Source organism: Homo sapiens, chromosome 2 (genome assembly GCF_000001405.40).
Source record: "Homo sapiens chromosome 2, GRCh38.p14 Primary Assembly".
Taxonomy (NCBI): Eukaryota; Metazoa; Chordata; class Mammalia; order Primates; family Hominidae; genus Homo; species Homo sapiens.
This window is the reverse complement of record NC_000002.12, coordinates 46,102,830-46,118,940: the sequence shown is the minus strand read 5'-3', so window position 1 is coordinate 46,118,940 and position 16,111 is coordinate 46,102,830. Positions and strand designations below refer to the sequence as shown.

General features: G+C 38.8%; 1 protein-coding gene across 18 annotated transcripts in view, besides 1 other annotated feature; it reads right to left on the bottom strand.

The window, feature by feature from the left end:
• Nucleotides 1-16,111, bottom strand: part of PRKCE (protein kinase C epsilon) — a 536,712-nt gene that overhangs the window by 69,050 nt on the left and 451,551 nt on the right. The gene's annotated exons all lie outside the window — the stretch shown is intronic.
• Nucleotides 804-2,003: an enhancer, noted in NCBI's record as "CDK7 strongly-dependent group 2 enhancer chr2:46344077-46345276 (GRCh37/hg19 assembly coordinates)". NCBI's record gives its function as "activates an origin of replication core promoter dependent on BRD2, BRD4, P300/CBP, MED14 and CDK7 cofactors, with strong dependence on CDK7, by STARR-seq in HCT116 cells {active_cell/tissue: HCT116}" and the evidence as "EXISTENCE:reporter gene assay evidence [ECO:0000049][PMID:35650434]".

Below are 16,111 nucleotides of genomic sequence, written 5' to 3'. Positions count from 1 at the left end.
CTTTTGCTCCATCTGTTGCAGGCTGAGATTCAGTCAGGTTGTTCGAATGAGACTCTTGGGTGAAGTCTCTGCTTTCTTGGAGGCTCCCAGACTCCCTGGGGCCATTGCTCTGGGTTTGCTATCGGACAGGTCAACGCCCAAACTGCCAGATTCCACAGCGACTCCCATCCATCTCTAGGGATCTTCATTCTTATGCTTTATCTTCAAGAAGGGTAAGAAAGTCTTTTTCCTTAGGTCTCATCCTCCATCTCTTTGGCTGTAACTTAAGTCCATTTCTTCATGCTCTGTATTCTGTGGTTACAACAGCATGGGGAGCCTCCTTATTGAAGCCAGTTGTTAGGCAGTGATTATCATATAATAGTCTCATCTCCATTTTTCTCTTTTGTTAGTCCAAGGCTTTCCATGAAGAGTATATTGTGTCTGCATTTTTTGGATAATATTTAACACCTTGCTTCTGATACCAGATCACACTGATTTTTGCAGCCAATGCAGTGTTTTCACAGCCACCAGTAGCTATTTTCTTTTTCAAACCTTTGGAAAAGCTGTGAAAACCTCCTTTACCAATTTGAGATCATTGTAGAACAGTGACAAGCTCTTTGGCCAACTTTGGGTAGTTTCTTTCTCCACCGTGTCCCACAGCTACCCAAGTGCCAACTCTTCTGAGTGTAGAATTTCAGGTAGGTTTCCTCCTGGTGATGGTTCCCATGCTCAAGTTAAACAATGATGTCGTCATTCTAAACAACCTCAAAGGAGTCTCTCCAGTTGATAATTCCACGAAACTGTCCTCTAAGCTTTTCCTCTAGAGTTGCCTGGTTCTGACCATTTATTCTTCAATTATCCATGCTATTGGTCAACATTTTTTCTTATTGTTCACATTAATCCCCTTGTTTTATGTAATTCAGCATCATGATTTCATGGACTATTAGAGCTAGGGTAGATCTTAGAGGTGAACAAATGCCATTTTGAAGTGTTTTACAGGATTGAGGATTAGAAATGTTTTTCTAGTCTTGGAGTTACCTCAGATGACCCCACTCTTTAAATACAGGTGTACTTTCAAGTCAAAACCTGACATCCTTAGCAACAACCCTGCAACTAGTTGACAAAGATTCAGTGATTACCTACTATGTACCTGGCTCCACATTATGGCAATGTAAGGGATCAGTAATAATAATAAGCAATTACTAAGCCCTTCCTATGTGTTTTCCCAAGTATCACCTCATTTAATATTCACAGTAATCCCGTGAGGTAGATACTATTACTATCCCAGCTTTTAAGTGAGAAAATTGAGGATCAGAAGGTAAAAAGAACTGGCTTAGGACCCACATGTGAAGGGAGGATCCCATCCCAGGAGTGTCTGACTCAAAGGTGAGTAATCACCCAGCTTGGCTGAACTTCTGGCTCCCCAGAAGGTACCATGGGGAGCCCGGAAATCTCTGCCCATGTGATTTCTGGACCTCATGTAGAATTAATTTCAGAATCCATCATTTCAAAGCCAACTCAGAAAAATCAGGTTTTTCCTTTACAGGCTTACATTATTTTGGATACAAAATGATTTTCAGAAATCAGATCTACTCCCAAAGCAGGATTATTAGCCACAAAAGAGACTATGTAGTCAAATAAAAACCTAGAGAGGCATGTAGATGTATTCAATGTAAAAGCAGTATTTTTGCCCTGAGAATGAAGTCTCCCAAAAGGACAGTTAAAGGAGAGGACAATACTCATTTGAATGTGTAAACTCTGGTATGTTGGTTTAAAAAAGTCAGTCTATTTCCTTATGGCAAAGGACAGAAACTCCCACCCCTCTGGTGCCCTCACTTGCTTTTGGGAAGAGCTCAGTGGCAGATTCTCCAGTACTTTTGATAGTCAATTGTTCTCTTCACTTTCCTTGAAACATCAGATTTGATTCTGAGCTATTAAAACTAAAATCCTCTGTGTCATGTTCCTTCTTCTGTGAAATTTGACCAATAATTTTCTTGACTGCTGGCTTCCCTTCAAACAATAGCAAGAGAAACCACCCTGCAATTCTTTAGATTCTCCAAGTGAAATGCCTGCTCTCCGGTTTTTTTTCCCCTCCCAGACCTAACCGCTGCAGTACACTCTCAGTGCTACTCTTTCTCCTTTCCCTCATTTCAGTATAGGATGCTTTTACTCCTCCTATTTCTCTAGCCAGACCTTCAAGGGGCTTTTTTTTTCTCCGAACAGGCATCCTTCTCAGGAACAGCACCATGTGTGATGACTGAATTAGCGTCTCTGGCCAGCCACAGAGGAGGGTGGGGACAGATGTATAAACCATGAACTTGGCTAACAAGCAAATGAAGGCTACACAGACCAAATCCCATCAATCCAAGGACCCACTTGATTTCAGTTAAGGGCGGACAGTAGAGGTGGGGAGCACATACTCACGGTAACCCAGCCTTCTGATTTCCTCATTGATTCAAAGTGTCAACAGTGACCTCAGCAGTTTCTCCAATCTCCTTTCACATTTTTCTTAATCATCTAATTATTTGAAACTAGGATGAAAGCAACCAGGTCACAGTTACCAAATTGCTTATTACTGGTCACAGGGATGTTTACTTTAGAATCCTGTATATTGCAGTGTCAAGGCAGCTCATGCCCATCTGTGCACACTGTTTCCTGGGAAGTTCTAGAAAGCAACTCTCACGTGACATTCTCCAACATAGAGGAGTGTGGTCATCTCTCTGAAGTTGGCTTCCCTTGGACACAGCCCTAAGCTGGGTACCTTGGAGGATCCAAGAGAAGGTGAGGTCATGGTCTCTGATCTCCAAGGGCTAGCTAGCAATTTGGTTGGGGAGACAAGACTAATAAAAACGAAACATTTCGAGACTAAGCAAGCATTACATCTGTACCCACACTCCAAAATCCCATAAGCCACTGGGAAAATGATCATTCACCTTATGGAGAAACCTCACCCCAATCCTCCTGCCCTGTAACATTATAAAGCAAGTCCTTTCCTCTGTAACTTTAGGCCCTTGGTTGACACAGGCATCTAAAAGTAAGGAAATTTGTATGTCTTATATCAAAAAGAAAATCAAAGATGAAGAGTCATATACAAAGAGAAAACAGAAGGCAAAGGGTGGGGTCACTCTCTCTCAGCCGAGTTCCCCGGGGTACCTGGTACCCTCTGTGATGGGGTGCTAATTACAAACGGGGAAAGCAGCCTGTGTCTGGTTCCAAGCTGGCTTAATTATACCTCTGAATCTTGCTTCCATCTAAAACACTGATTTATAATTTAGACAAATACACAAAAAGAACTTGGGAGCTTTGATGCAAGCACTGATGCCCATAGAGATCTTTTCAAAATCTGGCCTGCTGCATGCAGCAATGGCCAGATACCATGTTGTATATACACAGCATGAGATTAGATGATAAAGGCTTCCCCACTGGAGAATGCTGAGGAGCTTGAAGAGAAATGGGGCTTCTGGGTTCCTTACACCCCTCTCAGCTTATTTTTCCAGCCATGTGTTTGGTGGCTCAAATCTCTGAGCAAGATAGACTAAATGAAAATTTTTCACTGTGAATTTGGGTTTTATGAGATGTGCTTCTCTTTGTACAAAAAAATGTTAGGTTTTTAGACTCCTGCCAATAGCAAAATCACTCCCCCTGCTTCACAGGGACCTGGCAGGATGGACAGCAATGCCTGAGAATGTCTGTCCTATGGAAATGCAGAAGACCAGATGGCAAGAGGCCAAGGTGACAGGCTGAGCTTAGCACCTCTGTTCTTTGCACAGTTGATACTTGTGAAATACTACTTCCCTGCCACCTTAATCCAAAGAGAAGCTGCCAGTGCCTAGAACTGACGGTTGCGCTACACTGTGATCAAGCAGGAACATCAGATGGAACAATTCTATAGCAGCCTGATTCATGTGGAGGGCCACTCAGGAGAGGTTGGACACCTTCATGGGACTGTCCTGGTATGTCCTCACCAGCCCAGGTCAATGGCACAAGAGTTCCTGGGACCTTCTAGAATACATAATCATAAGAAAGATCCCTAAACATATATTATAAAGGTCTCAAATATTTTTCTCTAAATCTTGCCTTTTTCTTGGCTTAAGTAATCCAGACAATTGCTCTATTCAACCACACACACACCTATTTTAAACTCACATCAGTATATTAGAATTCTCACTAAATCATAAGGCACAGTGAACGGGCTTTCTTGAGGGAAAGGGTTTTAGATTCTCTTAAAAGCCTTGGACTCTGGGGCTGGGCACGGTGGCTCATGCCTGTAATCTCAGCACTTTAGGAGGCTGAGGCGGGCGGATTACGAGGTCAGGAGATCGAGACCATCCTGGCTAACATGGTGAAACTCCATCTCTACTAAAAAAACACAAAAAATTAGCCAGGCGTGGTGGCGGGTGCCTGTAGTCCCAGCTACTCAGGAGGCTGACGCGGGAGAATGGCGTGAACCTGGGAGGTGGAGCTTGCAGTGAGCTGACATTGTGCCACTGCACTCCAGGCTGGGCGACAGAGCAAGACTCTGTCTCAAAAAAAAAAAAAAAAAAAAAAAAAAAAGCCTTGGACTCTGGGAGGGCAATATTATTTCTAGCCCTTTTGGTCAGGCAATGCCCAATCTCTGGGAAGACTGTAATCTTAACTCAGAAAAATCATCCACAAAGCCCCCCTGATCGCTGGACACTAAGACAGGCACAGAAATGTCCTCTCATGGCAGGCTGAGGTCTGCACAGGTTTATACCCCCGAAGTTTATACAGAACCCTCGAGTTCTGTGCCTCTCGACATACCCACCACTGCTGTGAAGCAGAGCCAAGAACCGCAGGGTTCTTCTGTGGATATGCTTCTCCCTGCTCATTCGGGTCCAAAGGCCCAGCCTGGTAGATGTTCAGACATTAAAAATGTGTCTGGGGAGTGAAGAGAGAGGCAGTGTTTCCTTCCCGTTAAACCCAAACTGCAGAGTCAGATAACAAAAATATAAGAGGAAAATAATGAAACAAAGGAAGATGAATAACTAGCAGTATCTTGAATAGTCTTGAAGAGAAAACTGTAGAGACAAAGCCCAATCATCTATCTGAGGTCCCCACCACAGCCAGGACTGAGACGAATAAGTGGCTGGTCCTCGTTCAGGAGTCACTGCTTTATGATATGATGGGTATGAGAAGGGGTCACATGTCATGCCACCCCTGTTACATTCATCCCTCAGGAATCTCTTTTTGCCTAAAAGCTACCCCTACCCAGGGCTAAGTGGCAGCCCTTACATGAGGCAGGTGAGCATGTAGCACATCCCCCTTCCCACTGCAAGCCAGGGACTGCAAACTCTACCTGCAGAGATCTTTCCCCATAGGTCAAGACATTCTCCCTGCTAACGCTTAATTCTTATATGCAGCCTCTGCCTTCGTCAGGTCCAAAGTACTTCTCCCCAGAGTTTCCAGCTCAAAAAGGGAGACTGAGCCACAGGGAGCACCTTGTTAAGAGGAAGAGATATGAGGACAACTGATGACAATAATAATATCTATGATTTGGGCCCCTGCTAGGTCCTGACCACATTCTGTGAGGAAGGTATTAGTATAAATATTTTCAGGTGACTAAAATGAGATTGAAAGAGATTTAAAAACCTCTTTAAGTTCAGATATCTGTAAGTACCGTCTGGGATTCAAACACATGGATGTCTGACTTTAGAGTTCTGCATTTAACTACAGACCACAGAATACACATGCAAAGAGAACACACTTGCAGTAACTGACCACAAAAAAGCAGTCAGAACTATGTATTTAGGGTAATTATTCTTAGCCTTGGTGCAGTGATAGAATTGGGGTGTCTAAATCAGCTGTGAGGTCCATGAAGTATTTGGGCAGCACTAATACAGTAATTATATTAATGGTTAATATCTAGTGCTCACTGCCAAACCAAATACTGGGCTAAGTACTTTGATGCATTGTCCTATTTAAGCCTCACAATCTCTCTATGAGGAGGGTACTATGACAATATGTTATAGATTCTAGAACAAACTTTTTTCATATTTTAACAAATCTGAAATTAAGAAGCAACCTACAACTGGTGATTTTTCTTTTTAGTAAAAAAGCAACAAAAAAGATAGGGGGAAGGGAACAAAAAATGAATATAACAAATAGAAAACAGTGATAAAGAGGCCAGGTGTGGTGGCTCACACCTGTAACCCCAGCACTTTGGGAGGCCAAGGTGGGTGGATCACTTGAGGTCAGGAGTTTGAGACTAGCCTGGCCAACATGGTGAAACCCTGTCTCTACTAAAAATACAAAAATTAGCCAGGCATGGTGGCACGTGCCTGTAATCCCAGCTACTTGGGGTGGCTGAGGCATGAGAATTGCCTGAACCCGGGTGGTGGAGGCTGCAGTGAGCCAAGATTGTGCCACTGTACCACTCCAGCCTGGGTGACAAGGTGAGACTCTGTCTCTCAAAAACAAAAAACAAACAAACAAACAAACAAAAAAAAAACCAAAAAAACAAAAACAGGGATAAAGAGAGTAGATATTAACCCAACTATATCAATAATCACTTTAAATGTGAATGGTCTAAATACATCAATTAAAAGACAGAGATGGAGTGGATAAAACAAATAAGCAAAACAAGCAAGCAAACCAAAACAAACCAAAAATCCACAATACTCCACTATCTGTTTTCTAAAAGAAAACCACTTTAAATATAAAGGCTCAGACAGGTTCAAAGTAAAGGGATAGAGAAAGAATTACTATGCTAATGTTAATGAAAAGAAAGCTGGAGTGCCTATATTAGCTTCAGACAAAGACGACTTCAAAACAAAGAAAATTATCAGGCAAAAAGAGGGCATTACATAATGATAAAGATGTCGGTTCCTCAAGATGATCTAAATATCCTAAACAGGTATACAACTAACAACAGGGTGTCAAAACTGACAGAGGCAAGAAATGATAGAACTCAAAACCACTGTGGGATGTGATGATCCAGGTGGGTATATAATAAGAAAAACAGATAACGACAAGTGTTGGTGAGGATTTGGAGAAACTAGAGCCTTCATACATTGCTGGTGGGAATATAAAATGGTACAGCCATTTTTGGAAAACACGCAGGGAGTTCCTCAGTTAAACATGGAGTCACTACTTGACCCAGCAAGTCCACTCCTAGGTATATACCCAAGAGAAACGAAGACATCAGTCTTCTCAAAAACTTGCACACTAATATTTACAGCAGCAGGTGGAAACAACCTAAGTGTCCATCAACTGAGAGTGAATAAACAAAATGTGGTATATCCAAACAATGAAATATCATTCAGTGATAAAAGAAGTTCTAATACATGCTACAAAGTGGATCTTGAAAGCATAATGTTAAATAAAAGAAGCCAGTAACAAATAACCATGTATTGTGTGATCCCATTTGTGCAAAATGTCCAGAACAGGCAAATCTAAAAGGAAACTAGGTAAGTGAATGCCTAAGGCTCAGGGTAAGGGGATGGAAGGACTAGGGGATGATTGTTAAAAGGAACGGAGTTCCTTTTTGGTGTGACGAAAGTTTTCTAAAGTTGATTGTGGTGATGACTGCACAACTGCTTGAATAGACTAAAAACCATTGATTTGTATACTCTAAATGCATGAATTATATAGTATGTGAATTATATCTCAATGAAGCTGTTACCAAAAAACTGATTAAACTGAAAGGAGAAACAGACAAACCCCCTATTTCAGTGGTGGATCAAGCAGGCAGAAAATCAATAAGGATATAGTTGACCTGAACAGCATTAGCAATCAACTTAACATTTATAAATTGACATTTATAAAATAGCCATCCAATAACATAAGAATTCACATTCTTCTCAAGCTTGCATGTAATGGTCATCAAGATAGATCACATCCAGACCAGAAAAACTGCCTCAAATGTAAAAGAATTAAAATTGACAAAAAACTTTCAGATCATAATGGAATTAAACCAGAAATCAACAGGAGAAAAATAGGTGGAAAATATCTAATTATTTGGAGATAAAACAATACACTTTTAAAGAGCACATGGGTCAAAGAAGAACTCTCAAGAAATATTTAAAAATACTTTAAACTTAGTGAAAATGAAAATACAACCTATCAAAATTAGTGGAATACGGTGAAAGCAGTGTTTAAACAGAATTTTATAGCATTGAATGTGTACATTAAAAAACAAGAAAAACTTAAAAATCAATAAACTAAGCTTCTGCCCCAAGAAACTAGAAAAGAAGAGCAATTTAAACCTAAGGCAGAAACAAACAAATAATAGAAATCAGAGCATAAATTAATGAAATGTAAAACAGAAAAACAATAGAGAAAAATTAATAAAACCAAAAGCCGCTTTAAAAAAAAAAAGACTAAGAATATTGACAAGACTATAGCCAGGCTAGCCCAGAAAAAGAGAGAAGACGCTAATAACCAATATAAGAAATGTAAGCAGTGTCATCACTGTTGATCACGGGAACGTGAAAACAGTAATAAATGAATGCTGTAAAGAACTTTATGCCCACAAATTTGATAACTAAATGAAATGGGCCAATTCTGTGAAAGATACAAACTATCAAGATTCACACAAGGAGAAATAGATAATCTGAATAGGCCTCTACTTATTAAAGAAATCCAATCAGTAATTAATAATCTCCCCCAAAAAAGAAAGTATAAGACCCAGAGAGTTTCACTGGTGAATTGTACCAAACACTTAAGGGAGAAATGACACCAATTATCCACAATCTGTTCCAGAATATAGAAGCAAAATGAATACTTCCTAACTCATTCTATGAGGTCAGCATTACCCTAACACTAAAACCAGACAAAGATATTACAAGAAAATATAACAACTGACCAATATCTCTCATGATCATAGATGCAAAGATTTCTCAAAAAATTAGCAAGCCTAACAATGTGTAAAAAGAATTATATACCACAACCAAGTGGGATTTATTCAAGGTATGCAAGGCTGGTTCAACATTTGAAAATCAATGTAGTCTGCCGTATCAATAGCCTAGAGAAGAAAAATCATTTGATCATATCAATTAATGCAGATGAAGCATCTTACAAAATCCAATACCCATTCATTATAAAAATTCTCAGCAGATTAGGAATAGAGGGGAATTTTCTGAACTTGGTAGGGAGCATCTACAAAAACATTACTGTTAATATCATACTTAATGGTGAGTAGCTGGATGCTTTCCCACTAAGATCTGTAACAGACAAGAAGGTCCTCTCCCCCCATTCCTATTCAACATTGTACTGGAGTTCTAGTGAGTGTGATAAAACAAGAAAAGAAAATAAAAGGTGTGCAGATTAGGAAGGAATTAACAAAATTGTCTTTATTCACATATGACATAATTGTCTATGTAGAAAATCCAAAATCATCGACAAAAAACTCCTGTAATTAATAAACATAATAGAATGGTTGCAGAATACAAGGTTAATATGCAAAAGTCATCTGATGTCCTATGTATTTGCAATAAACAATTGAGACTTGAAATTTTTAAAAATATATCGTTTTCAGTAGCACACAAAAAAATTACATGCTTAGGTATAAATCTAACAAAATATGTATAGGATCTGTATGTAGAAAACTAAGAAAACTATAGACCACTGACACAAGAAATCAAGGAAGATCTAAATAAATAAAGAGTTATTTCATGTTCATGGATTAGAAGCTTCAATATTGTTAAGATGTCAATTGTCCCCAACTTAAAATCTATAGATTCAATACAATACCCATCCAAATCCCAGGAAGCTAATTTGCAGATATCAGCAACTTATTCTAAAATGTGTATGGAAAAGCAAAAGACATAAGGGACCCAAAACATTACTGAAGAAGAAGAAAGTTGGGGGACTCACATTAACCAATTTTGAGACTTACTATAAAGCTATAGTAATCAAGACAGCATGGTATTGGGGAAATAATAGACACAAAGATCAATGAAACAGAATAGAAAGCCTCAAAATAGACTCAAATACAGCCAACTGAGTTTTGACAATGGAGCAAAGGCAATGCAATAAAAAAAGAACAGTCTTGACAACAAATGGTGCTTGAACAACTGGACATCAATATTGAAAAAAAAAAGAACCTAGACATAGACTTTACACCTTCCACAAAAATTAACTCAAAATAGATCATAGATCTAAATATCAAACACTAAACTACAAAACTTCTACAATAAAACACAGGAGACAATCTTGGTGACCTTGGGTTTGGTGATGAGGTTTTTGATACAACACACCCAAAAACACAATCTATGAAGTAAAACAATTGATCAGTTGGACTTTATTAAAATTCAGAACTTATGCTCCACAAAACACACTTTTTTATTTGTAGATATGCATGGGGTAGAAATGCAATTTTGCTACATTGATATACTGCATTGTGGTGATGTCAGGGTCTTCAGTGCAGCCATCACTGGAGCAATGAACATTGTACCCATCGAGCAGCCTCCTATCACCCATTCCCCTTGACCTCTCTGAGTCTCCACTGTCCATCATTCCACACTCTGCTCACATGTGCATGCATAGTTTATTTATCTCCCTCTTACAAGTGAAGACATGCTATATTTGTTGTTCTGTGTCTGAGTTGTTTCACTTAAGACAATGGCCTCCAATTCTATCTGTGTTACTGCAAAAGATATGATTTCATTAAAAGACACTATTAACATAATAAAAAGTCAAGCCACAGACTGGGAGAAAATATTTGAAAAACACTTATCTGATAAAGGATTTGTATTCAGAATATACACAGAACTCATAAAACTCAAAAATAAGGCCAGGCATGGAGGCTCACACCTATAATCCAAGAGCTTTCGGTTGCTTGAGGCCAAGAGTTAGAGACCCGCCTGGGCAACAGAGCGACACCCTGTCTCAAAAAAACCCTAAAAAATTAGCCAGGCGCAATGGCACACACATGTAGCCCCAGCTACTTGGGTGACTGAGGCAGGAGGACAGCTTGAGCCCAGGAGTTCAAGGTTAAGCGAGCTAGGATCACACCACTGTATTGCAGTCTTGTGAGAGTGAGACCCTGTCTTAGAAGAAAACAAAAACAAAAACAAAACCCTCAACAATAAGAAAACAACTCAATTAAAAAATGGGCAAAAGATCTGTAAGGATACCTTTACAGATATACAGATATACAGATGGCAAATAAGATAGGAAAAGATGTGTAACATCATTTATCATTAGTGAATTGCAAATTACAACAATTAGACACCACTACCCACCTATTAGAATGACTACAATCCAAGAACTAACAATACTAATTACTAGAGAGGATGTGGAACAACAGGAACTTTCACTCACTGTTGATAGAAATGCAAAATGATTTCAGCCACTTTGCAAGACAGTTTAGCAGTTTCTTACCAAGCTAAGCACAGTCTTCCATATAATCCAGCAATTGCTCCCCTAGGTATTTATCCAACTGATTGGAAAACATGTTTACCCCAGAATCTGCATGTGAGTGTTTATAGTAGCTTTACTCATAATCATCAAAACTGGAAGTAAGATGTCCTTCAATAGTGAATGGATAAACAAAGTGTGGTACAGCCATAAAGTGGAATATCTGCCCGCCTCGGCCTCCCAAAGTGCTGGGATTACAGGCATGAGCCACCGTGCCCGGCCGGAATATTATTTAAAAATAAGAAGAAATGAGCTGTCAAGCAACAAAAAGACATAGATGAATCTTAAGTGCATATTGCCAGGTGAAAGAAGCCAGTCTGAAAAGGTTACACACTGTCTGATTCCAATTAAATGGCATTCTGCAAAGGCAAAAATTACAGTGTTGGTAAAAAAAGGTAAGTGGTTATCAGGGGTTTAGGGAGGAGGAGAGAGTTGGATAGGTAAAGCACAGGGGGTTTTTCAGCCAATGTAACTATGTTGTATGACAATGTAATGGTGATATATGATGCTATGCATTTGTTAAAACCCATAAAACTTTATAGCACAAAGAGTGAAACTTAATACACTCAAATTTGAAAAATTATTTAGGAAGCTGAGAAATCCCAGATGGAGTGCAAAATGTGACAAAATAACTTATCTGTATTATAAATGTATGAAACAACTTCATCGAAGGGTGGGGAAGAAAGGTGCTGACCTAAGCGTAAGCACAATACTTGGTATAGGACTGATTTGTGTTCTGCAAAAATTTGTATGTTGAAGCCCTAACCCTCCATAACTCAGAAAATCACTGTATTTGGAGACAGGGCCTTTAAAGAGGTCATTTAATTCAAATAAGGCCAGCAGGATGGTCCTACTCCAATCTGACTGGTGTCCTGATAAGAAGTGGACATTCAGACACACAGAAAAGACACCAGGTGTGCATGTGCACAGAGGGGTGACCATGCAAAGAGGTAGCAGGAAAGCAGCCTTCTGCAAGCCAAAGAGAGAAACTTGGAACAGATACTTCTGTTATGGCCCTTGGAATTTGCTGGTACCTTGATCTTGAACATCCAGCCTCCAGAACTATGAGAAAATACATTTCTATTGTTTAAGCCACCCAGTTTGTGGTATTTTGTTATGGCAGCCCAAGCAAACTATTGCAGTACTCTAGTTGATAAAGTTTTTCCCACAGCAGTGTGGGTTAACAATTCTATGCATATATACTGGGAATGAACACTTAAGTAAATGGGTGGCAGGTGGTGGGAGCTAGGTTTCTTAATGCCAGAGTGGGAGTTCACAGATAAGCAATGAGAAGAGGCTAGAATGATTCATATGGTAACAGATTAGAATTAGACATCGGTGTGAGCTCAAATAGCTTCATATAGACACAGATGGTTACATATACAATTGGCCCTTGAACAACATGAGTTTCAACTACATAGGTCCACTAATACATGGATTTTTTTCAATAAATATATTGGAAAAATGTTTGCAGATTTATGACAACTTGAAAAAACTTGCAGACAAACCACATAGCCTAGAAATATTGAAAAAGTTAAGCACAAGTTAGGTATGTCATGAATAATAAAACATATGTAGATAGTAGTCTATTTTATCATTTACTACTATAAAACATACATAAATCTAACATAAAAAGTTAAAATTTATCAAAACTTATGCAAACACCAACCATACCTGGTGCCATTTGCAGTCATGAAAAATGTAAATGAATGTAATGATGCAGTATGTAGTCATAACTGCATAAATTAACTGTACTGCATACTGTATTAGTATAATAATTTTGTAGCCACCTCCTGTTGCTATTGTGGTAAGCTCAAGTGTTGTGAGTATCTGCTTAAAAGGCCATGTGATGCTAACCACCTCCATATGAGCAGTTCCTCTCTCCAGCAAATTGTGTATTACACACAGCAAAAAGTGATCTCTGGTGGTTCTTGAGTATTTTTCATTGTGTTTAGTATAATACTGTAGTGCCATTCACTAGTGATGCTGGAAGTGTTCCCAAAAGTCATGGTATTAGAAGAAAAAGGTGAATTTCTTGATACGTGCCACAGATTGAGGTATGCATCTGTGGTTGCCTGACATCTCAAGATAAATGAATCAAACGTAAGCACTATTGTGAAAAAAAAAAAAAAAGGAAAGATAAAGATAATTTGTGAAGTTGTTGTTGCAGCTATGCCAGCAGGCATGAAAACCTTGCACTTTTTGTGAAATACCTTTTAATTTTGTATTGAAAGGCAGCTTTTACAGGGGCTCAGGGTTGCTATAAGAAAGCCCTAGCTATAGACTCTAATATGATTCAAGAAGGGAAGTTATATGATAAAGCAAAAGGAAGGTGAAGGATCTAAAGCTGAAAAATATAATGCCAGCAAAGGATGGTTTGATAATTTCAGAAAAAAATTTGTCTTAAAAAAATGTCAAGATAACAGGAGAAGCAGCTTCTGTCTACCAAGAAGCAGCGGACAAACTCTCAGACACCATTAAGAAAATCATTGAGAAGAACAGACATCTGCCCAAATAGGTTTTTGATGCAGGCAAAAGTGCTCTATTCTGGGGAAAAAAAAAAAAGGAAGATGTCACAGAGGACATTTATTAGTAAGGAAGAGAACCAAGCACCAGAATTTAAGGCAGGAAGGGATATTCTAACTCCACTGTTTTGTGCAAATGCAATCAGGTTTATAATCAACACTGCTCTTATCTATAAAGCTGCTAACCCCAGAGCCTTGAAGGGAAAAGATAAACCCCAGCCGCCAGTCTTTCGGTTGTACAAAAGGACCTGGACAAGAACACTTTTTCTAGATTGGTTTCATTGGACAATTGGTTTCATTGTCCCTGAAGTCAGGAAGTACCTTGCTAGTAAAGGACTACCTTTTAAAGTTCTTTTGATATTGAACAATATCCCTGGCCATCTGGAACCTCATAAGTTGAACATCAAAGAAGTCAAAGTGGTCTACTTGCCCCCAAACACAATATCTCTAATTTAGCCTCTTAATAAGAGGATCATAAAGACCTTTAAGGCTCATTGTATATAGTACTCTATGGAAAGGACTGCCAATGCTACAGAAAAGAACCCCAACAGAGAGAGCATCATGAAAGTCTGGAAGGGTTACATCACTGAAGATGCCATCCTTGTTCTAGAAAAAGCCATGAAAGCCATTAAGCCTGAAACAATAAATACCTGTAGGAGAAAACTTTTGAGATGTTGTGCATGACTTCACAGGATTTACAACAGACCAATCAAGAAAATCATGAAAGAGATTGCAGATATGGCAAAAAAAAAAAAAAAAAAGTACAAGGTGAAGGGTTTCAAGATAGGGATCTTGGGGTAATTCAAGAGCTAATAGACATCACATCAGAAGAATTATCAGAAGGTTACTTGATGGAGACGAAGGCTTCCAAAGCAATGCCAGATGATGAGGAAGAAGAAGTAGAGCAGCAGTGCCAGAATAAAAACTGACATTAGGCAATCTGGCAGAGGATTCTGATTATTCAAGGTTGCTTTTGACTTCTTTCAGAACATGGACCTTTTAATCCTATGGGCACTGAAAATAAAGCAAACGGTGGAAGAATTGGTATAGTTTAGAAACATTTTTAGAGAAATGAAAAGGCAAAAGAGGCAGACAGAAATTATGATGTATTCCTGTGAAGTTACACCAAGTATGCCAGTCTCTCCTGCCTCCCCTTCCACCTCCTCCTTTCCATCTCTGCCAACCCCTCATCTTCTTCCTCCTCCTCAGCCTACTCAAATGTGGAGATAAGAATGAAAACCTTTATGATGATCCACTTCCACTTAATGAATTATAAATATATTTCTCTTCCTTATGATTTTCTATAAATATTTTCTTTTCTCTAGCTTACATTTTAAGAATATAGTATATAATACATGTAACATACAAAATATGGGCCAATTAACTGTTTATGTTATCAGTAAGGCTTCTGGGCAACAGTAGGGCATCAGTAGTTAAGTTTGGGGGGATTCAAAAGTTATACACAGATTTTCAACTGTTTTTTATATTTGCTCACTCACTCCCATGTTTTTCAAGGGTCCACTGTAGAAATACTTAATATGTGTATTATACATGAGTTATGTGTATGTGTGTATTCATGAGTTAGAACACACACAATTCCTTGTTCTGTCCTTTGAGAGGGACTACAAGAAATGACATCCCAGCAGCAACTAGCACACTTCGCACCTAGATTTTGGTTTCTATTTCCATTCTCCAATAAAAGAAGCCAGGGATCCTTAGGAAAATGGCTGATTCTAGGACTGGGGCAAGAAATATACATTTTGTAATACCAGAAAGTAAGAAAGTGCTGAAAACCAAACCACTCCACAATGATGGGGGTATGTCAAAGAGACACAGGAGCCACCTAATGGAGCTCCCAATAAGCAGATCTGTAATAATTCGAGCAACAAAATAAAGTAGTATTGAATTATAACCCAAAATATAAAATAACTATCTATGAGTTCATATTGATATAAATAAATGAGCAAATACATATATAATGGTGGAGGAGACAATGCACATGGGTGGAAGAATTCTAAATAAATTACATTGCTACTCTGCCCTCACAGAGGTGAAATATAATTTGTCACTCCTCAAGTGTGGGCTTTATATAATACTTCTTTGCAAAGAATACAGTATGGAAAAGGGCATGGAAAAGGAGAGAAACTTTACAGTGGAGAAACCTGGCAAACATTTGATATTGACTATTGAGGTCAATATCAATGATAAGTCATGTTGATAGTATGGAC